General features: G+C 46.3%; 1 protein-coding gene across 1 annotated transcript in view; it reads left to right on the top strand.

Moving 5' to 3' along the window:
* Positions 1-26,580, top strand: part of LOC124902201 (syncytin-A-like) — a 40,433-nt gene extending 13,853 nt beyond the window's left edge. The window contains exons 5-7 of the mRNA XM_047424307.1: positions 4,154-4,281; positions 19,771-19,948; positions 23,937-26,580. Of these exons, the coding sequence (XP_047280263.1) occupies positions 25,143-26,126 (984 nt within the window). The 5' untranslated portion in view covers positions 4,154-4,281; positions 19,771-19,948; positions 23,937-25,142 and the 3' untranslated portion in view covers positions 26,127-26,580. The remainder of the gene's footprint in view (positions 1-4,153; positions 4,282-19,770; positions 19,949-23,936) is intronic.
* Positions 26,581-27,127: the final 547 nt, after the last annotated feature.

Here is a 27,127-nt window from a genome sequence, read left to right as displayed (position 1 = left end):
CCTCGCCACTTCTGATACTGAATACCCTCCACAAACACAAAGATGTGAGGTTATCTAGAATATTTACTGATGTCTTGAGAAAGGTCTCAACGTGTGGTTCCCTCCCCCAACACTTGGTAAAAATTTTCAAATAAACAGCCACTCAACTTGTCCAAATGCTTCTTTTGAAAGATCACTCTGTGTGTTTTCAGTGACTTTTTTTTCATTATAATGAGTGTGATGGTTAATTTTATTTGTCAACTTGCCTGGGCCATGGGGTACCCAGATATTTGGTTAAACATTATTCTGGGTGTGTCTTGTGAGGGTGTTTTCAGATAAGATTAGCATTTGCATTGGTGGAGAGAGGGAAACAGTTGCCCCTTCCCAATGTGGGATCATCAAATCAATCTGTTGAGTGCCTCAGTCAAACAAAAAGGTGGATGAAGGTTGAATGTGCTCTCTCTGCCTGACTGCCTTTCAGCTGGGGCATCAGTCTTCTCCTGCCTTTGGATTTAGACTATAGATACCACCACCTCTCCTGGGTCTCCAGCTTTTGCTGATGCAGATCTTGGGACTTCTCAGCCTCCACAATTGTATGAACCAATTTTTTTTTATAATAAATCTTTTTCTATATATATATATACACAGATCCTATTGGTTCCATTTCTCTGGAAAACCCTGACCTAATACAAAGGAGTAATACATATATTAACTTTTTTAAACTTAGAATTTATAAAAGCTATTTTAAAAATCACCTATAGGCCAGGTGCAGTGGCTCATGCCTGTAATCCCAGCACTTTGGGAGGCCGAGGTGGGTGGATTATTTGAGGTCAGAAGTTCGAGACCAGCCTGAGCAACATGGCAAGACCCTGCCTTTACTAAAACAAAACAAAAGAAAACAAAAATAGCCTGGCATGGTGGTGCACACCTGTGGTCCCAGCTACTGGGGAAGCTGAGGTGGGAGGATCGCTTGAGCTTGGTGGGTGGAGGTTGCAATGAGCCAAGATTATGCCACTGCACTCCAGACTGGGTGACAAAGCCAGACCCAGTCTCAAAAAGAAAAGAAGAATAAAGATATTCACCTAAAATCTCAATTCTCAGAAATAACTAGAAACATTTAAATGCAATTATTCCCAATCATTTTTCTTTATATAATTGCACAGCAGCATAATATACAGGGTTTTGTCTTGTTTTGACTGAGATGGAGTCTCGCTCTGTCGCCCAGGCTGGAGTGGAGTGGCATGATCTCAGCTCACTGCAACCCCCGCCTCCAGGGTTCAAGTGATTCTCCTGCTTCGGCCTCCCGAGTAGCTGGGACTACAGGCACATACTACCACACCCAGCTAATTTTTGTATTTCTAGTAGAGATGGGGTTTCACCATGTTGGCCAGGCTGGTCTTGAACTCCTGACCTCAAGTGATCCACACACCTTGGCCTGCTAAAGTGCTGAAATTACAGGTATGAGCCACTGTGCCCGGCCTGCAGTTTTGTAATCTACTTTCTTTCACATTATTAAATTTTTAAGAATATGCTTTTTTAACATTATTATTTCAAATAATAGATGATTATTAATTTTAAAAAATATAGGTGATAACAGAAAAAAACACAAAGAACATAAACTATCATCCTAACTCCCATCAGCCAACAACAGTATTAGGTAGCACCCAGCGAACAACACTCAATGCATCCCTAAACACAGACAGAAGAATAGAAAAATTTTCACAAAAATCAGATGATATTATGTATGCAATTTTTAAATAAAGCTGTCAAATTTAATTTTCTGCAATTTAATAGAAGAAAATGAAACAAGTCAAATGTAAGGAATTTCTGTAGATCAAACAAAAGTTTCTTCATAAAAATTCATACCTAAATGATCACTCTGAAGACAGAAAAATGCACAGTATTGGGTTGGAGAATGTGTTAGAGAGGGTTCTTTTTTGCATACCTCAGAAAACAACTGGTTGGCTTGATCATAAAGAGAGGTTTTGTTTTTTGAGACAGAGTCTCACTCTGTTGCCCAGTCTGGAGTGCAGTGGCACGATCTCGGCTCACTACAATCTCTGCCTCCCAAGTTCAACAGATTCTCCTGCCTCAGCCTCGAATAGCTGGGATTACAGGCATGCGCCACCACGCCTGGCTAATTTTTGTATTTTTAGTAGAGATGGGGTTTCACCATGTTGGCCAGGCTGATCTTGAACTCCTGACCTCAAGTGATCCACCCACCTATGCCTCCCAAAGTGCTGGAATTACAGGCATGAGCCACCACTCTCCACCAAAAGAGATATTTTTTAAAAGAGACATGGTAGCTCACAGAATGTGGAAAGGTTGCAGGGCAACCTTTAAAATTCTTTATTGAGAATGTATCCTCTTATTGCCTTCACCTAGGGTGAGTCATTCCCACCACCTCTCCCCAGTTTAAGGAGTAGGGAAGGGGCCAGGCACAGTGGCTCACGCCTGTCATTCCAGCACTTTGGGAGGCCAAGGCAGATGGATCACCTGAGGTTGGGTGTTCGAGACTAGCCTGACCAACATGGAGAAACCCCGTCTCTACTGAAAATACAAAAATTAGCTGAGCATGGTGGTGCATGCCTGTAATCCCAGCTACTCGGGAGGCTGAGGCAGGAGAATCACTTGAACCCAGGAAGCGGAGGTTGCGGTGAGCTGAGATACGCCATTGCACTCCAGTCTGGGCAACAAGAGCGAAACTCTGTCTCAAGAAAAAAAAAAAAAAAAGAAGAAGTAGGGAAGGAAGAAGGGCCAGGCAGTCATGCTTACACTGCAGGGGTCAGTTGGAGACCGTTGGGCACACAGGCCCTGGACCCTTGGCCTGGCTGCTGCCACCACAAATGAACAATGTTACCGTCCCCATCTTTCCATCACTCCCTCAAGATTCAAGTCCCAGGAGGACACACCACAGGCCATGGTGCAGGGAGTGTGGACAGCAGGCATCTGGCCCACTCCGTGCCATACTGGGAGGAAAGGGCCAGTTATTCCGAAATCAGGGAATTATCCAGCACAGGATGAGTGTTTCTACTAGGTAGCCACAAAAATGTACTCTACAGTCACCGCTGCCTGCCCCACATCCATGTATATCCTTCTGCTACTTGTCGCAGAATTAATCACGGCTAACACCCCCAGTGGGCAGTGCCTTCCTTGCCATCTTATCCATGAGTCCAGTAAGCAAGCACTGGGTTAGCAGCTGACTCATTTCGTCATGTGGATCGTCTCATCCACCAGATTCTTGACAGCTCCATTCATGGTGGGGCATGGCAGAGACTTGAGTGTGTGTAAGCCAAACCCAAACTGTTCTCAAAGTGTGGGACCATTCTCATTTATGTCATATAACCTTACTTGCAAGGATGTTCAAGGGCGGGATGGTGCAGGTCTCAGATGGTGTCCTGTGGAATGTGCACTGCAGATGGCTGCGGAGAGCCAGACCACTGAAACCCTCGAGGCAAGACACAGAAGATGTGCTTCTTGGTCAAAAAAACTCTCTCAGTTGTTTTCTGTTAATTTGGGATTAAGAAAAAAAATTTCCTTATCTGTAGCTGCATTCTATATGCCTGAGTGTGTTTCGATTTGCTCCACTACAAAGCTCACTTCTGGGGCCGGGCGCGGTGGCTCATGCCTGTAATCCTAGCACTTTGAGAAGCCAAGGTGGGTGGATTGCTTGAGCTCAGGAATTCGAGACCAGCCTGGGCAACATGGTGAAGCCCCATCTTTACTAAAATACAAAAAATTAGCCAGGTGTGATGGCACACGCCTGTAACCTCAGCTACTAGGGAGGCTGAGACAGGAGAATTGCTTGAACCTGGGAGGCGGAGGTTGCAGTGAGCCGAGATTGCGCCATTTCACTCCAGCCTGGGTGACAGAGTGAGACTCTGTTTCAAAAAAAACAAAAAAGCTCACATCTGGAAAAGCAACTGTAATTATTGGTGAGTCATAATCCACTGTCATTATCTACCATCCATCCACTTTTCATGCTGGTCAAACTGGAGGTTAAATAGGACTATGACAGGAATCAACATCCATGCATCTTTGGTCACAAACAGCCAACATCCTCTGAATTTCCCTCATGGATTTGCTATTGCTTTTGGCTTTTTTGCCAATGGTGAGGGAAGCTATCAAGAGTTTTCTATTGTAATGATTTTTTTTTTTTTTTTTTTTGATGCAGGGGTCTCACTTTGTTGCCCAGGCTGGCCTATTCCAGGATTTGACTTTGCAGTTGATTCCCTAGACATGTGAAGATCTGAGTCTAATCAAAGATAATTCAGAGATCGTCAGGGTAACATGCAAGGACTGGTGAGTGAGGAGCCATTTCTCCATGCAATGGAACTTGCTTGAGCAAGAGGCCTTCAGGGTCTTTATGCCAGGAAAGTCATTCTGGTTATATTATGAGGGCAGGATGTGGGCTGGTAAGGAGGACCTGGGGGCAAGGGGAGGCGGGGTTGAGAGTAGTCTAGATGCTTCGGCTTCTCTTCTAGATCCCTAATCTAATTCTTAGAGTTTTGAGCAATGCTCTAACTTTCACCTAAGTGATATTGAGATTCTGTAAACTCAATGGACTTTACAATTCAGCAACCTGCAGGACTGAACTTTATCATTTCAAAAGGACCCTGGGTTACACTTTGTGCCTCAATTTCAGAATGTAAGACTTTTAGGTTTCTTTTTGTTTTTCCTCAAGCTGTCCTATGCCATATCAGCATTGTGTCCCTAAATACTAAGTGGATTTTCATGACCTTTTGTGACTACTAGGTCAGACTGCTAAGCCCACACAACCCACATTTCTTTAACAGTTTGCTTTCTGTAACTCACTTTCTGTATTACCTAAGTTTTTGGTGCAGTTAATAGAAAATGTTCCTGGCCATCCTAAGGAAATTTATTGAAGATATTGGAGGGCTGGCTATTGGGGAGCTACTAAAGCCAATGGGAAGGCCAGAGAAATAAGGCTTTGAAAGTAGTTGAGAATGAAGTGAGGCCAGGTGGAGGAAATACAGCCGAGGCCACGCCATCCGTATGTCACTAACCTACACCGTCAGCAGTGCCGCAGGCCAGCACCGCATTACCACCCCATCCCCTCCAGGTCCTCCCTTGCCATCATCCCAGGAATCCCCTGTGATTCTCTCCTAGGTCAGATTCCCTAGTTCCTGAGTGGCAGGTGTTTCTCTTAATGTGTTTCCTCCATGCCCATTTATGATTTAAATTAATACACTCTCAGAATATAAAAAATAAGAAATGTCCTCACCTTGATAAACATTACATTTTTTAAAAACACAGCAAAAAAAATATGTAATTCAGAAATGTCAGATGACTCTCCTTCAGACTGGAAGCAAAACAATTATGCCTGTTGTTAGCGCTATTTTTCAATATAGTACCGGGGGTGTTACCCAATGTTACAAGACATTAAGAAATTAAAATTGCCATCCAAATGAGTATTGGAATAAAAAAAGAGAAAACTGTCATTCTTTGCAGATGATGTGATAGTTCACATATAAATCTCAACAGAACAACATGTAATCTATTAAAACTATTAGAAGAGGTAAGGCCAAATCACAGCTCATGCCTGTAATCCCAGCACTTTGGGAGGCTGAGGTGGGCAAATCGCTTGAGCCCAGGAGTTTGAGACTAGCCTGGGCAACATGAAGAAACGCCATCTTTACATAAAATTGGACAGGCGTGGTGGTGCACACCTGTAGTCCCAGCTACCTGGGAGGGTGAGGTGGGAGGATCACCTGAGCCCAAGAGGTCGAGGCTGCATGATTGTGCCACTGCATTCTAGCCTGGGCAACAGAGTGAGACCCTGTCTCAAAAAAAAAAAAAAATTACAAGAGTTTATAAAGGTTTCCAGGAATAATATTAACTCATAAAAATCACTAGTGTGGGGCCGGGCGCGGTGGCTCATGCCTGTAATCCCAGCACTTTGGGAGGTCGAGGCTGGCAGATCATGAGGTCAGGAGTTCGAGACCAGCCCGGCCAAAATGGTGAAACCCATCTCTAATAAAGACACACACACACACAAAAAAAGGCAGGCGTGGTGGCACACACCTGTAATCCCAACTACTTGGGAGGCTGAGGCAGGAGAATCGCTTGAACCCAGGAGGCGGAGGTTACAGTGAGCTGAGATTGCACCATTGCACTCCAGCCTGGGTGACAGGGTAAGATTCCAACTCAAAACAAAAACAAAAACAAAAAACACAAGTGTTCCTTTTCACAAATTTACAACTGTATAAAATTATAAAGCAGGTAGGAATTAACTCATCCCAAAAAGCACATGATATTAATGGAGTCAATTTTGAAAGTCTAAAAAAGTCGTAAAAGAGTGAGTAGGCTAAGCCAGGCACGGTGGCTCATGCCTGTAATCCCAGCACTTTGGGAGGCCAAGGCAGGTGGATCACTTGAGGTCAGGAGTGCGAGACCAGCCTGGCCAACATGGTGAAACCCCATCTCTACTAAAAATACAAAACTTAGCTGGGCATGGTGGTACACAATTGTAGTCCCAGTTACTCGGGAGGCTGAGGCAGGGGAATTACTTGAACCTGGGAGGCAGAGGTTGTAGTGAGCCAAGATGGCACCACTGCACTCCAGCCTGAAGGACAGAGTGAGACTCCATCTTCAAAAAAAAAAAAAAGAAAAAGAGTAAATGGAGAAATAGACCATGTCCATAGAAGGGATAACTTAACATTGTAAAGATATCAGTTCACCCCCAAAATAATCTAGAAGGTTTATAGAATACCTATAAAATGTTGAGGTTTTGTGGGTTTTTTTCAATTTCAATAAACTAATTCTACAATGTACATGGTAGGTCAGGCATGGTGGCTCACTCCTGTAATCCCAGTACTTCGGGAGGCTGAGAAGGGAGGATAGTTTGAGCCCAGGAGTTCGAGACTAGCCTGCACGACATAGCAAGACCACATCTTTGCAGATAAAAAATTTATCTGGGCACGGTGGTGCATGCCTGTGGTTCCAGCTACTCAGGAGCCTGAGGTAGGAGAATTGCTGGAGGCTAGGAGGCGAAGCCTGCAGCGAGTCATGATTACATCACTGCACTCCAGACTGGGAGACAGAGTGAGACCCTGTCTCAGAAAAGAAAGAAGAAAGATTGAAGGAAAGAAAGAGAGAAGGAAGGAAGGAAGGAAGGAAGGGAACGAGCGAGGGAGGGAGGGAGGGAAGGAAAAGAAAAGAAAAGGAAGGAAGGAAGGAAAGAAGGAAGGAAGGAAGGAAATAGAAAATCAAAACAAAACAAAACAAAAAAACACTCAACAAACGAAGAGGTCTTTGAGGACCCTTTGTAGGCCTTTGATACTTGACTTGCCAAGACATATATTTATTTCTTTGTAGATCATAAATGTTTTCCTGGATAAATACTGCAACCTTTTCCAAATACATGCTGTCTGCATCTTTCCACTACTGTGCTTGCCTGCAGATTGTCACAATGTTCCACATTTGGCCTAAGCACCATGATGAGTCCCTCCTCCATGCTGGCCACAAACCCTGGAAAGGGCTCTGAGTGTCAAAGCCAGCCTGGGGCACCACTGCTTCAGGGACTGGCCTCTGACCTTGAGCTGCTTCTGTGGAATGGTCACAAGACACCTGGTCACTAAAGGGAATGGCTTATATCACGATTACTTATCATTTCTTTTTGTTGCTATTGTTGTTTTTGTTGTTTTTGAGACAGAGTCTCGCTCTGTCACCCAGGCGGAGTGCAGTCGTACAAATGGCTGGCCGCAACTTCCACCTCCTGGGTTCAAGCAATTCTCCCACCTCAGCCTCCCGAGTAACTGGGATTACATGTGCGCACCACCACATCTAATTTTTGTATTTTTAGTAGAGATGAAGTTTTCACCATGTTGGCCAGGCTGGTGTCGAACTCCTGACCTCAAGTGATCCACCCACCTCGGCCTCCCAGAGTGCTGGGATTACAGGTGTGAGCCACCGCTCCCAGCCAATTACCTATCATTACTAATCGAAGGGTCCCTGGTAATAATTTAACTTTCCTTCCATCCTATGAGATAAATTGATCTGTGTCATTGACTGTCAGCAACAGATATTTAGGGGCATTCTGGAACTTTGAAGGCTATGAACTTCACCACACATACCTGACGGTGTATTTTGAGTACTGACGACTCTGCATCTGGGAACCCACAGATCGCCAACGCCCACTCTTCTTTGTGAAGTCCAGCGGAGGAGCTTGGGCTTTAGAATAAGTCTCAGATATGCTGGCCGCTGCTGGCCAACTACGCTGCCTGGATAAGTTACGTTACCTTCGCCTCAGTTTCTTTATGTTAAAGCATGAGGACCACCTACAATGTGTGATTGTGAGAGCCTGACACAGTGCCATGGAGTCTGACGCCCTGCCTCACACCTGTCTCCTTCCTAATGCCTCTGGTTGCTGGTGCCGTGGGCCAAATCGCGTCTCCCCCAAAATTCAGACATGGAAGTTCTAACCTCCAGGACTTCAGATGTGTCTGTATTTGGAGATGGTGGCTTCAAAGAGGTCATCAAGTTAAAATGAGGCCCTTAGGGTGGGTCCTGACTCATCATGACTGGTGTCCTACAAGAAGAGGAGATGAGGACACTGACAAGCACAGAAGGCGACCATGTGAGGACCCAGGGAGAAGACGCGATCTGCAAGCCAAGGGGAAGCCTCAGGAGAAACCACCCTGTCAATGCCTGGATCTTAGATATCCAGCCTCCAGAACTGTGAGAAAATAAATTTCTGTTGTCTAAGTCCCCCAGCGTGTGGCACTTTGTTACGGCAGCCCAAACTGACCCATGTGCCTGGGCAAAGTGGAAGATGAGTGGGGATTCTGGCGAGAGGCAAATCCAGATCTCAGCAAGCCAGGCAGGGAGGCCGACGTCGCTCAACAGAAGCCCAGGAGCCGGCCCTGGCCTTGACCAGGTACTCCCTGCTACACTCTCTCACAGATGTTCCCAGCATCATGGGGCAGGGTCCCAAGGGCAGGATCCCTCCCTCCAGGACAATCTCCTGCTGCTTCTGCACCGTTTTGCAGATGGAAGAGCTCCAGGGCCCTGAGCCCTCTGCGGCTCCTCTGCTCACAGCATGTTCCCACAAACCTCATTTTGTACGGGCCCTGTGCTCGGCTCTGGGATGTGCTGCCAAGCCCTTTGCACGACACACGCTTCTTTCCCACACCTTGCCCCTCCAGCACCCCCTGGGTGCCAGGATCATGTGACCTCTTGCACCCCCAGAAGTCCCACATCCTGCCCCATGGCCACTGATGCAGAGACGACAGTGATAACTGACAATGGACAGCCTTTCCCGGGGCTCCCAAATCACACTTGCTCAAGCTCAACATAAAACCAGAGTGGTAGCAACTTCAAATGTGAGGAAGCTGAGTCTCGCAGAGGCAGGGCGAATTCTCAAAGGCACAGCGCTGAGATACTTGCGTTCACCCTTCTGTGTATCACAGAAGAAGCACTGAGCTCTCTCACAGCTTCGTCTGCACCACCCAGTGCCCAGGACCCAGGCTCCGTCATTGGAGGAGCATCATAGTTACAGATGTTGCTCTTAACATGAAAGCTGTTGTTGAATTCAGATCAAACCAAAAGAGAAGATCTTCCCAGTGAGGTGACTTCCCCTCCAGGCTGGATACCCCTGGGTGGCCTGGGTCAGGTGGTCAACACCTGGGCTCCCGTCCCAGCTGCAGAGGTTGCAGCGCAAATGACTCAGGTGTTGGAAGGGCTTGGCCTTTTCAAGTCCGTGTCTGTGTGCAGGACCAGGGAGCACATTCTAGCGCCTCTAGACCGGCCAAGGCCATAAGCTCAGCCAGTTCCCAGAAGCACGTGTGGCCATTTAGCAAGTGTGTTGGCCCCTTTCCTGGTTATACGGAATCAACGGTGGGAGGAGGAGTTGAGGTCAAATGTGACAAGCATATTTGGCATTCTCTGGTTGGTCCTAAGTTGGAAGCAGGAACAAAAAATGGGAAGCTGTCAGTTACCGATCAAGCCCTGGCCATTTGGGGCCAACTGTTACAGGAGAGTTATTGGTTGGCTTCCTGGATTGTCACTAGAGATAGCAGTCTGACTTCCTAGAAGTCTGACTTGTAATGGACAGCCTGCCTGCCTGGGCTGGTTCCTGTAGATAAACATTGGTTTCCTGGGCAGCTTGCTGCAGACTGTGGGGCAGGGCTCTGTTTTTTTATATAGTCTGACCATTGTCTGTTTGTGTACTCAGTCCTTTAGTAGCTAAACCAGAGACGTGCAGAACCATCTGGGCTACCTTCTCTCCTGCCACCCTGTAGCTACTTGTACTGAAGAACCAAGCCTGTGGGCTCAGAGGACCCACATGCAGGTGGGAAATGGCACCTTCCCTCCACCCAGGGCACATAGACCTGTGCCAACCCAACCAGCCATTGCAGTGTGGCTTATGGATTACCTATCAGATAAGTGCTCAAAATCAGCCTTCTTTTTATGCCTGGAGCCAAAAATATCTGGTGTGCTCTGCACACCACTGGGGCCCTCTGCACTAAAGGCCAGTGATCAGCCAAGTAATTGCTTCTCTCCTGGACAAAATAAGAGGCAGCCACTGCTCCCTCTTGGTGATGTTGCCCTACCCTGAGTATCCAAGTCTTTCCCCCATGTCTAGCCCAGTACCTTGACCAAGGTCAGGAGCTACTTTGGATTCTCTCAGAGGAGACTCTGCGCAAGGAGGGGAGGAGGCAGGAAGGGACCACTGGGAAGTGACAAAGATTGTTGCCCTGACGGTACTTGAGTCAGGCTCCCGAACCTTCTCCTAGACCTTGTAAGATCCAGTTTGGCTAGAACCCCCACCCTTGATATCTGATCACCCTCCATATCTGATCGGTTTCAGGTGACATCTGGTCACCCTGGCCTGTCTTCAGCGAGAATCCTATTAGGTCAGTTTAGCCAGAATCCCCCTCACCCCTGACACTTCCTCTTAGCAATTCTCCATCCGCTGACCCCCACCCTGCTCCTTGGCTGTAAAATCCCCCCTGCCCATGCTCTATTCAGAGTTGGGCTCAATCTCTCTCGCCCACTACAAGACCCCAGTGCAGCATCTCCTGCACCTGCAGTGACGGTCCCCACCAAACTTTCGCAGGTGTCATGAAGATATTATCCTTTAATAGGAGCTCTGGGGACAGGGTGGAATGTGCAACCCAAAGTCATCTCCCCACTGGGCTCTGGCTTCCTTGGTCATGCCTGAAGGCCAGTGGGCAGCTCTGGCCTGACACAAACCCAAACAGAGAGGGCTCCAGTGGCCAGTGAGCCTCTGCCTGGGATGCAGCTCCACCAGGGACGCAGCTGTGGCAGCTGGGGGTGGGGGATGGGGTGATGGCCCACTGTGGCCGTAACATGCCCTCTGCTTGACAGCTTCTTCCTGCCTCCAGGGCCCTGACTTATCTTTTCTTAGAACGTTTTCTTTAGAAAACTGGTTGTAAGTTCTTTCTCTGTCCCTTTGAGGTGTATGTAAAATGTTTTTAAAGGCCTCTTGCCAGCATTACAACCCAGGAATATCTTTCTTAAGGGCCTAGAAACCCTTTCTTTGAACTATAATCTCCCAGTGACTGTGAGAGGGTAGGAGCCTAACCTCCAAGCTGTAAAACTACTTCCTGTCTTAGAGATGTGAGAAGTTTACTTTTCCTTTGGGTAAAGCCCACTAGCACACACAGATGGCCCGAGGAGTCCACTCTGCAGGCCTTTATTTATTTTATTTTATTTTTTCGAGATAGAGTCTCTGTCTCCCAGGCTGGAGTGCAGTGGCACAAACATGGCTCACTGCAGCCTTAACCTCCTGGGCTCACATAATCCTCTTGCCTCAGTCTCCCAAGTAACTGAGACTATAGGTGCATGCCACCATTCCCACTAATATTTATTTATGTATTTATGTACGTATTTATTTATTTATTTTGAGATGGAGTCTTGCTCTGTCGCCCAGGCTGGAGTGCAATGTCACAATCTGAGCTCACTGCAGCATCCACTTCCTGGGCTCAAGCAATCCTCTCACCCCAGCCTCCCTAGTAGCTGGGACTACAGGTGCATGCCACGGTGCCTGGACAATTTTTGTATTTTTTATAGAGATGGGGTTTTGCCATGTTGCCCAGGCTAGTCTTAAACTCCTGGGCTCAAGTGATCCTCCTGTCTCAGCCTCCCAAAGTGCTGGGATTATAGGCGTAAGCCATCGTGCCTGGCTACAGGCCTTTAAAAGCCCTCTGCCCTTTGTCTCAGCAAAGTTGAGTTCAGACTGGGTTCTGCCCTCTCTCCCCCATGGTCATAGCCTGGAGTAAAGTATTCTATACCTGTCTGACTGTCTGGTACAGTTTTTGTTTCGTTTTGTTTTGAGACTGACTCTTAATCTGTTGCCCAGGCTGGAATGCAGTGGTGTGATCTCAGCTCACTGCAATCTCCACCTCCTGGGTTCAAGCAATCCTCCCACCTCAGCCTCCCGAGTAGCTGGGATTACAGAAGCATGCCACCACACCCAGCTAATTTTTGTATTTTTAATAGAGATGGGGTTTCGCCCTGTTTGCCAGGCTGGTCTCGAACTCCTGACCTCAGGTGATCTGTCCACCTCAGCCTTCCAAAGTGCTGGGATTGCAGGTGTGAGCCACCGCGCACAGCCCAGTTTTTGTTTTGACAGCACCCAGGGCCTCCTGTGCAGGTCTCTGGTTGGCCTCCTCACCTGCTTTCCTACTCTGAGGTGCTAACTGCAGAACACAGGGACCACCCGCCAGCGGCACAGCCAGGGGAGCTCAGGGCTAACAAGCCCCACAAGCCGCTACCAGTGCTCACCACAGGCCCGGGGCTGCCCTGCCGCATGCTCCACAAAGGCACATTTCTATAGAAAGTAAATCTGCAGGAAATGAAAGCAGTTATTGATTTCCATTAGGTCAATGAGATTCCCGCTGGGCAAAGGATGGGGTTCATTTCTCTTCCTTTTTTTTTAAGTTGAACTATCTTTATGTCCTAAAAAAAAGAAATTTCTGACATGCACCTCAATTTTCTACCTACACACTTAGCTTCTGCTAAAAAATGAAAATACCTGCTCATAGAGGGAAAAACTCTTGAATTTTAAGAAGATCCCTGAAAAATAATCCTTGGCCTTTCGCAGAAAGCTTAGAGGCCACTGGTGTGACCAGAGCCTGACTTTAGCCCCTTCTCTGTGAAGAGCTATCTTTTTTCATACATGCCAGGCCCCCAGAGAAGGCGTGACACAGAGCCCAGTGTGAGCGTCATAATTTTTCACGAGAACAGGTCATCAGGACACATGGTGGTAGCTGGCTTCTGCAGGCAAGGGGCTGCTGCCACAGCGAGGAGGGGAATGGAGGTGAGAAGGTGGCATTTCCTTCAAAACCATTTGGGGGGCTGGGCATGGTGGCTCATGCCTATAATCCCAGCACTTTGGAAGGTCGCGGCGAGCGGATCATTTGAGGTCAGGAGGTCAAGATCAACCTGGCCAACATGATGAAACCCCGTCTCCATTAAAAAAAATACAAAATTAGCCGGGCATGATAGCGGGTGCCTGTGATCACAGCTACTTGGGAAGCTGAGGCAGGAGAATTTCTTGAGCTCGGGAGGCAGAGATTGCAGTGAGCTGAGATCACGCCACTGCACTCCAGCCTGGGTGACAGAGCAAGACTGTGTCTCAAAAAGAAAAAAAAAAACCATCTGGGGAACAACAGGTTAGGTGTACTGCTCGGTTTGGGTTTTTTTTTTAGGTTGGGTGTCCTAGAGTTGAAAGCCATCCCCGTATTCAGAGAAGAAAGAGCAGGATGAAGCAGATGTTTTGGGAAGATAGTTCTTGGGAGGTGGGGTGGGGGGACCAGCACAGACCAGCTGGACCCTGGGCCACGCCGCACTTCCCATGACACCACCCCACACCTGGGCAGCAGGGTGGAAAGACTGCTGCAGGGCATCTACACCCTGCCAGAGCCCGCAGCCTCTTACGGTTCGCTTTTGTTTTCTCCAGTACTTCTGCGCTCATCAAGCTGGCTTGAGATGCATATTGCAATGAGAGCTAGGAATAGAAGCCTCTTGGAAACACTGCTGAGTTCCAGATAAAGAAAGGAGGCTCTTCTGGAAGCTCTTCCCCGCAGGGGCCACAGACCCAAACACAGCCATAGATGGGGTGGGGAGGGCCTCTTCACACTCAGCCCCCCTTCCTGGGGCTTCTTTTTCTCAAGAACTCTTAAAAGGTCACTTTGCAGTACTCGGAGGGGACTCCTGATAAATATTTCAGCTCTGGCCTTGGTCCTGAGCCTCCTGCCTTTTGTGATCACTGAGAGTCCATTTTTCCTCTCTCTGCTCTCAAGTGCTACCTGGTGGCTACTTAAAAATCAGTGGCCAGGCACGGTGGCTCACGCCTGTAATCCCATCGCTTTGCCGCTTTGGGAGGCCGAGGCGGGTGGATCATTCGAGGTCAGGAGATCGAGACCATCCTGGCTAACACGGTGAAACCCCATCTCCACTAAAAATACAAAAAAATTAGACAGGCGTGGTGTCAGGCGCCTGTAATCCCAGCTACTCGGGAGGCTGAGGCAGGAGAATCACTTGAGCCTGGAAGCCAGAGGTTATGGTGAGCCAAAATCACGCCACTGCACTCCAGTCTAGGTGACAGAGTGAGAACCTGACTCAAAAAAAAAAAAGAAAAAATTAGTAAGGGCTGTATGAGACATTCCGGAGAAAACATGGTGAAAGTTTCTTGACATTTTTGCAATAATTGTCATTATGAAAGCGAAACTGACTTTCCAGGCAGTCAAAAAAAAACAAAAAAAAGCTTCAGTTGTGTTCTAGTGGAAACTGGCTCTTTATTACAGCCTCAGTACTATAGGAGCCTGTAGCGCAAGCCAATGCAATGCCATTTAACATCACATAAAAAAATGTTTAAAAGTAGTGGTTAGGGGACGGCACGGTGGCTCACACCTGTAATCCCAGCACTTTGGGAGGCCGAAGTAGGCTGATCACCTGAGGTCAGCAGTTCAAGACTAGCCTGGCCAACATGGTGAAACCCTGTCTCTACTAAAAATACAAAAATTAGCCAGGCATGGTAGCACATGCCTGTAATCCCAGGTACTCGGGAGGCTGAGGCAGGAGAATCACTGGAACCCAGAAGGCAGAGGCTGCAGTGAGCCGAGATTGAGCCACTGCACTCCAGCCTGGGTGACAGAGCGAGAGGCCATCTCAAAAAAAAAAAAAAAAAAAGGTGGCGATTAGGATATCAGTGACGGTTCAAGTATCCTTTTGGAGTAAAAGTGTAAAGTGAGGGCTACTTGTCATATTTAATATTGTTCTTCCCCATCGCAACTAGAATCCAGCCTTCACTCTTCAGTAGGGCAAACAGTCTTCCTCAGAGCACCCCATTTTACACCTGCCATGTAGAACTAGAAGATCTTTATAGAAGTCCCTGGTACCTAACACCACAAATACATATTTTTTTCCTTTAGCAGTTTCATCTCCATACCTCTCAGAATACTCAAAACTCCCTATATATCCTCAGGGCCCTCCACCATGTGGCTTCAGCTCCCCTCTCCCTGCTTCACTGCGGTGCACTCAGACCACTTCCCCACCTTTCCTCATCCAAGTCAGGACCCATCATCCACTTTCCTGGAATGGTCTTCATCATTTTCACTTAGTCAGTGTGATGGTTAATTTCATGTGTGAACTTAGTTGGGTCTTGTACCCAAATATTTGGTCAAGCATTATTCTAGATGGTTTCTGGAAAGGTATTTTTCAGATGAGATTAACGTTTAAGTCACCAGACTTTGAGTGAAGCAGATGAACCTCCGTAATACAGGTGGGGCTGAAGGGGTTCAGGATGTGCCGCCCAGAACAAGCCGCTCTGGCGTAAGTATTATTTTGAGTTGAAGGCAACTGAAAAAAGTAGACAAAGTGAGCTCTCTGCTGCCCCACTCACTTCCTTAAAACAGAGCACAAATTTTCATTTGTGAAGGTGCTCCCCACTTTCCTGTATCAGGAAGGGGCTAACAGCCAGATCACCGAGATGAGATAGCACCAAGGAAGACTACTCACACAAGCCCTTTCTTGCCTTTTCCCCAGACATTAACCTTGTCTGTTCGCTGCCCCTAAAAGCCTAACTCCTCTTTCCTTTTTCTAGTCAATTCTCGACAAAGTTATTCTTCTTTATTAAGACACAACAATCTCAGCCCAAGTTCTTTTTTTGTTTTTGAGACAGGGCCCCACTCTGTCACTCAGGCTGGAGTGCAGTGGTGCGGTATGGACTCACTGCAATATCCATGCAACCTCAGCTCACTGCAACCTCTGCCTCTCAGACTCAGTGATCCTCCCGCCTCAGCCCCCCAAGTAGTTGGGAACACAGGCACATGCCACCATGCCCAGCTAATTTTTATGTATTTTTTTGTAGAGACAGGGTTTTGCCATGTTGCCTAGGGTGGTCTCGAACTCCTGGACTCAAGTGATCCACCTGTCTCTGTCAAAGGAGTTTGAACCAGAGCAACTCCATTTTGAATAGCGGCTGGGTGAAATAAGGCTGAGAAATGCTGGCCTGCATTCCCAGACAGTCAGGCATTCTAAGTCACAGGATAAGATAGGAGGTCATCACAAGATACAGGTCATAAAGACCTTGCTGATAAAACAGCTTGCAGCAAAGAAGTGGGCTAAAACTCACAAAAACCAAGAGAGCGACAAGAGTGACCTCTGGTCATCCTCACTGCTACACTCCCACCAGCACCATGACGGTTTACAGATGCCATGGCAACATCAGGAAGTTACCCTATAGGTCTAAAAAGGGGAGGCAGGAATAATACACCCCTTGTTTAGCATGTAGTCAAGAAATAGCCATAAAAATGGGCAACCAGCAGCCCTCAGGGCTGCTCTGCCTATGGAGTAGCCATTCTTTATTCCTTTAGTTTCTTAATAAACTTGCTTTCACTTTACTGTATGGACTCGCACTGAATTCTTTCTTGTGTGAGTTCCAAGAACCCTCTCTTGGGGTCTGGATCAGGACCCTTTTCCTGTAACACTTCAGCCACCCAAAGTGCTGGGATTACAGGTGTGTGCCACCGTGCCCGGCCCTAAGCCCAAGTACTAACTACCCCTTTCAACGACTCATCTCTGAGTCCTCCCATGTGTAAGCATGCTTTAGCAAACTTTGGTTTGTTTTTCTCCTGTTTCTTCGTCTTCTACTAGTCTAATTTGCGGGGCCTCATCCAATGAACCCTAAGATGGATAGGGTAAAGATATTTTATTCCTCCCCTACAGGGCTCATGCAATCAGTTGAAGGCCTTAAGAAAAAGGCTCACCTCCCCCATGGAGGAGGGAATTCTGCCAGCAAACTGCCTTTGGGCCCGAGCAGCAGCTTCAACTCTTCTCTGAGTTTTCAGCCTGCCACCTGCCCTGCACATTCCAGACTTGCCAGCCCCACAGTCATATGAACCAGTGCCTCAAAATAAACCTCTCAATCTATTTAGGAAGTTTATTTTGCCAAGATTAAGGATGTGCTCATGACACAGCCTCAGGAGGTCCTGATGACATGTGCCCAAGGTGGCTGGGGTACAGCTTGGTTTTATATATTTTAGGGAAACATGTAGCTTTTTTATCTTTGTAGCTATCTTATTTAGGAATAAAATGGGAGGCAGGTTTGCCTGATGCAGTTCCCAGCCTGACTTTCCCCTTTGGCTTAGTGATTTGGAAATCCCAGGATTTATATTCCTTTTACCATAGGTAGATAGATAGATAGATAGATAGATAGATAGATAGATAGATAGATAGATGATAGATAGATAGACTGATGAAAAAAGCCAAATTCTGTAAAATATTTGAAAAGGTTTATTCTGAGACAAATGTGAGGATCATGATCCTCAGGTGGTTCTGAGAACTGGTGCCCAAGGTGTTTGGGTTATAGCTTGATTTTATACATTTTAGGGAGACAGAAGTTACAGGCAAAGACATAAATTAATACATGTAAGCTATACATTGGTTTAGCCTGGAAAGGCAAGACATCTCGAAGCAAGACGCTTCCAGGTCATAGGCGGATTCAAAGATTTCCTGATTGGAAATTAGTTGTAAGAATTAAACTTTGACTGAAGAGTTGAAGTCAGCAGATAGAAATGCTTGGGGTTAAGATAAGGGGGGCTGTGGAAGCTGAGGTACTTGTTATGTAGATGGAGCCTCCAGGTGGCACGCTTCAGAGAGAATAGATGGTAACTGTCTCTTATCAGACCTTAAAAGGTGCCAGACTCTTAATTAAATCTCTCCTGGATCAGGAAAAGACCTGGAAAGGGAAGGGGATTTTCTACAGAGTGTAGATTTTCCCCACAAGAAATGGCTTTGTGCTGGGCGTTGTGGCTTACACCTGTAATCCCAGCATTTTGGGAGGCCAAGGCAGGTGGATCACCTGAGGTCAGGAGTTCAAGGCCAGCCTGGCCAACGTGATGAAATCCCATCTCTACTAAAAAAACAAAAAATAAGCCAGGTGTGGTGGTGGGCATCTGTAATCCCAGCTACTCAGGAGGTTGAGACAGGAGAATCACTTGCACCTGGGTGGTGGGGGTTGCAGTGAGCCAAGATCATGCCACTGCACTCCAGCCTGGGCAACAAGAGTGAAACGCCATTTCACAAAAAAAAAAAAAAAAAAAAGAAAGAAAGAAAGAAAAGAAAAAGCTTTACAGGTCCATTTTAATATATGTCAAAGAAAAATAAATTTTGGAATAAAATACTTTGATTCCCTTTAGGGCCTGTTATCTGTCATGGGATGTTATACCAGGGTCAGTTCAGAGTGGGTATCTCATTGCTACACAGAATCTGTGTTGTCAGTCTTGGGATCTCTATTTTAATGATAATACTGGTCAGTTTTTCTAAACTCCAAAAGGGAGGGAGTATAATGAGGCACGTCTGACCCCTCGTCCCTTCCTGTCATGACCTGAACTAGTTTTTCCCATGTCTTTGGAATCCCTTTGGCCACTGATCCATTCAGTCAGTTAGGAGGCTTAGACTTTATATTTGGTTTACATTCAGATAGATAGGTAGATAGATAGATAGATAGATAGATAGATAGATAGATAGATCATCTTATCTCTGTTTCTCTGGTGAAGCACTAATCCAGTGAGGCAGCTCTCTTCAACCATCGTGTCTAGAGGTGGTGGCTGACAGCGTGGCCTCTCTTGATGTTCTCCTTGGGCATTTTCACACCTGGGGCTACCATGTGTACTTGCCGCCTGATGTCCCAATGCCTGAGGGCCTTGATGGGCACTCATAGCACGACCCTGAGCCAAGCACAGGCTATCTGCTGAGCAATGGGTGGATGGTGAATGTAAGATACAGTAAATTCCCCTTCAAAGATTTAGCCTGTTAACTTCCTTATTCTTTGTTCTCAAACTCAGCTTCCTTGTTCTCCATGTCTCCTTGCCTCTAGTTACTGTAACAACCTTCTCACCAGTTCTAATCAATAACTCACATCTTTCCCTTGGTTACCCACTCTGCACCCATTCTTCCCACTGAAACTGCACGTCCCATCACTGTAACTCACATCCCCCTTCCCTTCCTTATTTGGAAAAGTATTCACAAATAGCCAATCAGGTCAACTTAGAATGTGTGGTCCAACCCCAACCCCTGGGGTAGTGACACAGAGGTAGGGACTGCATTAGGGATAAAAACCCTTTCCCTCCTTTGTTCAGTGTGCTCCTGTGATCGTGATTGACACAGGCAGCACCCTTCTGCAGAAGTAAATTGCCTTGCTGAGAAAACCTTTGCCTGAGTGCTGGTTTCACTTTGCAGCTCTGAGCATTTGTTTCCAGCAAATCTGGGGACTCATCCAGGATCCCCATTTTCCTCCAGGAAAGGGGTCTCCAGTCACCTCTCATGAGGAGACGCGTCCCACTGCCTCATTGAGGTGGCCTCAGGGTGAAGAATCAGGACCCACCTGGTGCAACGAATAAACCCAGACTCTCAGCATCGCGAGGAGAAAAAGTCTTGCAACACCGTGGCGACCAAGTAACTCTGTGCACATACTAAGGTAAGAAACTTTGCAGCAGCAACAAAGTACTTCCTTGGTGGTTGGGATATTCTGGAGGCTTAAAGCACATGAATGGCAACAAGCATGACTGCTGTGTAGTGTGAGTGAGTCCAATCTGCAGTTCTGTGGTCACCTCATACGGCTTAGGGAGGCCCTTTGGGGGTCCCAGCAGGGGTTTATACTGACCCGCCATCAATGCTAAGAGGGGCCTGAAACATTCCCAAGAGGGAAGTGGCCAGAGTGGGCGAAGCAAAGGGAGAAGGGTGCAAAGAGCCTCCAGCAGGTGGGGTTAAAGGATAAGCAAGAAATCTCTAATATGAGGGATTGAGCCTCAGCAAGCCTCAAGAGAAGAATAGGTAAGAAGTCTCCAGTATGAGAGATTGAGCCTAATTGGAACCCAACATGGGAAATACCCCAAGCAAGACAGGGAGTAAAAAGGATAAAGATAGGGCTGGGCACGGTGGCTCACGCCTGTAATCCCAGCACTTTGGGAGGCTGAGACGGGCGGATCATGAGGTCAGGAGATTGAGACCTTTGTGGCTACCACGGTGAGACCCCATCTCTACTAAAAATACAAAAAATTAGCCAGGTGCAGTGGTGGGTGCCTGTAGTCCCAACTACTTGGGAGGCTGAGGCAGGAGAATGGAGTGAACCCAGGAGGCAGAGCTTGCAGTGAGCTGAGATTGCACCACTGCACTCCAGCCTGGGCAACAGAGCAAGACTCCATCTCAAAAAAAAAATGGATAAAGATAGCAATAAAGATATTCCCCCGATAGTTCCCTAGGTCTCATGTTGAAATATTGGAAAGATAATGAGAGGACTAAACATAAGAAAAAGCAACAAATGATAAAATATTGCTATTTTATTTGGACTCAGGGACCCATCCTCAATCCCTCAATCTTCTGGCCAAAGTTTGGGTCTAATGAGGATGTGATGTGTCAACTTCTAATTCAATATGTAAATGATAAAAGTCCAGTTTCTCAAGAAGAACTGGACAGGCCGGGCGCAGTGGCTCACACCTGTAATCCCAGCACTTTGGGAGGCCGAGGCGGGTGGATCATGAGGTCAGGAGATCAAGGCCATCCTGGCTAACATGGTGAAACCCCGTCTCTATTAAAAAATACAAAAAATTAGCCAGGCGTGGTGGTGGGCGCCTGTAGTCCCAGCTACTTGGGAGGCTGAGGCAGGAGAATGGCGTGAACCCAAGAGGCAGAGCTTGCAGTGAGCTGAGATCCGGCCACCGCACTCCAGCCTGGGTGACTGAGCGAGACTCTGTCTCAAAAAAAAAAAAAATATTAAGAAGAACTGGACTATCCTCTTTGTTGAAGGCAGGGACCTGTCCTCCTCTTTCCCTTAAATACAACTAGGGAAAAACCCAATCTAGCAACTCAGAATGAAGAGTCAGAAAAGCCAGTTCCCGTGCCTAAAGACTCCAGCACATGGGCTCCCCTAGACCATCTTCCCCCACTCAGGGCCCCTAAACCTTCCCCTCAGGCAGCTGTTGCCATCCTGGATCCCGCTCCAGATCCTTCCCCTGCTCACATTATTTCTCCTCCTTAAAATCCTGATTCTTGGGAATCATCATCCCATGAGCCTGTTCCCTCCCAGCCCAAGTACTCCTCCCTAAAAGGACTCCAGCATGAGGTAGAACAATATAAAAAGAATATCCAGAATTTCCCATTTCTCTCCACACCTAAGAAGTCAGCCCTGACTCTCTTCCCCTTAAAAGAGGTGCCACAAGGAGGGGGAGCTATTGGCTTTGTGAATGCTCCCTTAACCAGTTCAGAAGTCCAAAGTTTGAAAAAGGAAACGAAGCCATTGTTAGATGACCCTTATGGGGTGTCAGATCAGGTTGATCAATTCTTGGGACCTCAGTTATATACTTGGGTCAAGTTAATGTCCATCCTAGGTATCCTCTTTTCAGGGGAAGAAAGAAGCATAATCTGTAGGGCTGCTATGGCAATTTGGGAACATGAACACCCTCCTGGTCAAAACATTCCACTGCAGATAAAAAATTTCCCACCCAAGACCCACAGTGGGACAATAATAATGCAGCTCACTGGGAAAATATGCAAGACCTATGGGAAATGATAATAAAAGGAATTAGAGAATCAGTACCCGAACCCCAAAGCTCTCTAAAGCATTTAATATACAACAGGAAAAAGATGAAGGGCCTATGAAATTCTTAGACAGGCTAAAGGAGCAAATGAGACAATATGCAGGCCTAAATTTGGAAGATCTCCTTGGACAGGGAATGTTAAAGCTCCATTATGTCACTAAAAGTTGGTCAGACATTTTCTAAAAGTTACAAAAATTAGAAGATTGGGAAAACCAAGCCCTAAGTGAACTTCTCAGAGAAGCTCAAAAAGTGTATGTGAGGAGAGGCGAAGAAAAGCAGAAACAAAAAGCAAAATCCATGCTATCTACTTTCCAGCAGATGGCTCCAAACCCATATGCTTCTAAACAAGGTCTCCAGGGGGCCAAAAACTATAAAGGGTCCAGACCCCTGTTCAAAGGACCCAAGCCTCCAACTAGGTGACCTAGGCCTTCATTTCCCAGGCCTTCTAAAGAGAAAGTAGAGGAGAGACCAAGTATATAATTCCTGAGAAATTGGTCTTTTGTTTCTAATGTAGGAATGTCAGCAGTGGAGTGTAAATAAGGCAATCCATAGAGCATCTCATAAGGAGAAAGGCCAGTATCTTTCCGAGGGGCAGTTCAGATTCTTAACAAGGCAATAGGAAGACATTTAATCCATGGCAGCCAAGTTTCTAGAACTAATTTGGTTAAGTGGTTCTTCAGGGTCTGATTCATCCTTTCTACCCTACCTGACAAAGGTGGGTGCCAAAGAGTATGATATTCCCATTTAATGTCTAGTGTTTGGGATAACTTTTTAATGATATGTGCTGTGAAGAAATCATCTAGGCTGGGCACAGTGGCTCACATCTGTAATCCCAGCATTTTGGGAGGCCAAGGCGGGTGGATCACCTGAGGTCAGGAGTTCGAGACCAGCCTGGCTGATATGGTGAAACCCTGTCTCTACTAAAAATACAAAAATTAGCTGGGCGCCTGTAATTCCAGCTACTCGGGAGGCTGGGGCAGGATAATCACTTGAACCCGGGAGGCGGAGGTTGCAGTGAGCTGAGATCTCGCCATTGCACTCCAGCCTGGGTGAAAGAGCAAAACTCCGTATCAAAAAAAAAAAAAAAAAAAGCGGTCGTTATAAACCCAAATGAAGTAGTTTCCCAATACAGACGTTTTTGAGTGTCTGCATCACCATAGTGACTTACTTTCCCCTATTTTGCCAACAGTCCTGAAATCTTGGTTGTATGGATCTTGAAATGATCTTTCATGAGAACAACCCGGGTCAACATTAAGGCCACACAGACAATCATCACACTGGGGTCACTGTCCAAACCAAACATAACTGTCTCAATCCCAATCTGCAAAATAGAAATGTATTAAAAACCTAAATCATGAGCCGCTGGCTCACGCCTGTAATCCCAGCACTTTGGGAGGCGGAGGCGGGCGGATCACAAGGTCAGGAGATCGAGATCACGGTGAAACTCCATCTCTACTAAAAATACAAAAAATAATTAGCCGGGCATGGTGGCGGGCGCCTGTAGTCCCAGCTGCTCAGGAGGCTGAGTCAGAAGAATGGCGTGAATCCGGGAGGCGGAGCTTGCAGTGAGCCGAGATAGCGCCACTGCACTCCAGCCTGGGTGACAAGAGCGAGACTCCATCTCAAAAAAACAAAACAAAACAAAACAAAAAACAAAAACAAAAAAAACAACTAAATCATGATGTGCTACATTTTCTTCTCCTTAAGCATAAAATGCACTGTTTCCTGTTATATTGAATATTTGATCAGATTCTGCTTAAAGAAAGAAAATTTAAAAAGCTTTCTCAAGTCCAACAGAGCTTATAAAAATAAAAAGTAAAAATAAAAAGCTTTCATCAGACTCTACGTTCTCTTTTCTTAAAACCAAAGGTCTCAAAACACAGGCACGGCCCCTGGAGTTCCCAGTACATCAACATCAGCCTGGGGATCATGTCCTCATCAAAAGCTGGAAAGAGGAGAAACTCGAACCAGCCTGGGAAGGACCTTACCTGGTGCTCCTAACACTGAAACCACAGTCCAGATAGCAGAAAAAGGATGGACCCATCACACCCCAGTCAAGAAAGCATCACCACCTCCGGAGTCATGGGCCGTTATCCCAGGGGAAAACCCTACCAAACTAACGCTAAGAAAAGTTTAACTCTCCTTCATCTATTCTATTACTCCTTCTTCTTTCCTCATTCTATGGCTGACCACCTCATTATTAATGTAACCAGGTCAAGCTCACCCCAAACTATTACCTTCGATGCATGTCTTGTCATACCCTGTGGAGATCTCCAAAGTCAAAAGCAACTCTCAGACTCAGAGAAGTATCTCTGCCCCTTTAAGATAAAAGGCTCCCCCTATCAAGACCCTTGTTCCTTAACGAATGCAGGAAAACAGGTCTGCCATAGCTGGAATGATGTTGTGTGGACAACTGAATATCAAGGCTGGACCTCGTCAACCGGTGGTTGTATGTCCTTAAAACCATACATTCACTTCACTAAAGAAAGTACCCCCCATAATTGCCAGTATAACCAATGTAATCCAGTGCAAATTTCTATTCTCATTCCAACTTCTACTGACCCTAAACCTACTTTAAGTTGCTTATATGGCATGGGAGCCGAAATAGCAGGGGCACATCTTATTGGATATTTTGAGATATGTTTTATTACTCCTTCACCTCCTACATTCCTTCTACATTATCCCCCAATGTTCTGTTCTTCCTCCACCCAAAGATAAAACCAAAATAGATATTGTAGAAGTAAATGACCTAAAACAAACTTTAGCAATTGAAACAGGATATCAAGATGCAAATGCCTGGATGGAATGGATTAAATATTCCGTCCACACTTTAAACAAAAGCAATTGTTATGCTTGTGCGCACAGCAGGCCAGAGGCCCAGATTGTCCCCTTTCCACTCAGATGGTCCTCCCGTCGACCAAGCATGGGCTGTATGGTAGCTCTCTTCCAGGATTCTACAGCTTGGGGCAATATATCATGCCAAGCTCTCTCTCTGCTCTATCCTGAAGTTCAACACCCTGCGGGTCAGCCCCCGAGGGCCATCCAGCTTCCGTCTCCCAATGTCAGTTTCATCTCATGTCTCTCATGACAAGGGAAAACTTGGCATTCCGTGGAAGCTTAATGGGATGTAGTGAGCTTAAGCCCTTCCAAGAGCTTACCCATCAGTCTGCTGTTAGTCATTCTCGAGCGGATGTAGCGGATGTATGGTGGTATTGTGGTGGACCCTTACTGGACACTCTGCCAAGTAACTGGAGTGGTACTTGCACTCTTGTCCAATTCGCTATCCCTTTTGCCCTTGCATTTCTTCAACCAGAAAAAGAAAAGCCACAACACCGTAAAATAAGAGAAGCCCCTTATGGGTCTTTTGACTCTCAAGTTTATTTAGACGCAACTGGAGTCCCACAGGGAGTACCACACAAATTCAAAGCTCAAGACCAGATAGCTGCAGGATTTGAATCAATATTTTGGTGGGTAACTATCAGTAAAAACATAGATTGGATAAATTACATCTATTATAACCAGCAGCGGTTTATTAACTACACTAGAGATGCTGTCAAAAGAATAGCTGAACAGTTAGGGCCTACTAGCCAGATGGCTTGGGAAAACAGAATGGCCCTAGACATGATATTAGCCAAAAAAGGTGGAGTTTGTGTTATGATCAAAACTCAATGTTGTACCTTCATCCCAAACAATACTGCCCCTAGTGGGAGCATAACAAGGGCCTTACAAGGCCTTACTGCTTTATCCAATGAATTAGCTAAAAATTCTGGAGTCAATGACCCTTTTTCAGGATGGCTAGAAAGGTGGTTTGGTAAATGGAAAGGAATCATAGCCTCAATTCTTACTTCTCTTGCAGCCGTAATAGGTGTAGTCATTCTTTTTGGGTGTTGTGTCACACCATGTATCCGTGGGCTAGTACAGAGGCTTATAGAAACAGTACTTACTAAAACCTCCCTTAGCTCTCCTCCACCTTATTCAGATAAGCTTTTCCTTTTAGAGGATCAAGTCGAACAGCAAAGCCAAGACTTGTTAAAAAGGTTTGAAGAGGAAGGACCATAACAATTGAAAGGGGGAAATTATAAGATACAGTAAATTCCTCTTCAAAGATTTAGCCTGTTGACTTCCTTATTCTTTGTTCTCAAACTCGACTTCCTTGTTGTCCATGCCTCCTTGTCCCTAGTTACTGTGAACAACCTTCCCACCAGTTCTAATCAATAACTCACATCTGCTCCCTTGGTTACCCACTCTGCACCCATTCTTCCCACTGAAACTGCACTTCCCACCACTGTAACTCACATCCCCCTTCCCTTCCTTATTTGGAAAAGTATTCACAAATAGCCAATCGGGTCAACTTAGAATGAGCGGTCCAACCCCAGCCCCTGGGGGAGTGACACAGAGGTAGGGACTGTGTTAGGGATAAAAACCTTTTCCTTCCTTTGTTCAGTGTGCTCCTGTGATCATGATTGATGCAGGCAGCACCCTTCTGCAGAAGTAAATTGCCTTGCTGAGAAAACTTTTGTCTGAGTGCTGGTTTCACTTTGTAGCACTGAGCATTTGTTTCCAACAGTGAATATTCTACTTGTTTTAAAAAATGTCTACTTTGAGGTAACTGTGAGGTTTGACAGATACAATTTTAAAGCATAATAACATTTGAAAGTTAATTCCAAGTTTATTCTTTTTAGAAGCTGGAACACAGAAACATAGGAACTGGAGTTAGAGAGCATCTCATTAATAGCTAACCCTCCTCTAATAACTCATGAATTAATTAATAATTACAACCTTAAAACCTCATCAGTAACTAATTACTCATTGGTAATTCATTTTTTAACTCACTAGTCACCTACGACTTCCCCCAAGTGTCCACAGAAGGGAGGAAGGTAGGAGGGATGCGCTGGCCCCGCCGGCCTCTGCTGGCACATCCCATCACATCCATCATCTGTCTCACAGATTCCCTGGCCTGTCCCCCAACAGGATCCAACACCACCTTCCCCAGCCCCTGCCCAGAGCTTCCTCTCCAAACATAGCTCACTGGATCAAGCTGGGCTGGGGCTCTTCTCCCC

Source organism: Homo sapiens, chromosome 9 (genome assembly GCF_000001405.40).
Source record: "Homo sapiens chromosome 9, GRCh38.p14 Primary Assembly".
NCBI classification, from domain to species: Eukaryota; Metazoa; Chordata; class Mammalia; order Primates; family Hominidae; genus Homo; species Homo sapiens.
This window is presented reverse-complemented; position numbering and strand designations above follow the sequence as displayed.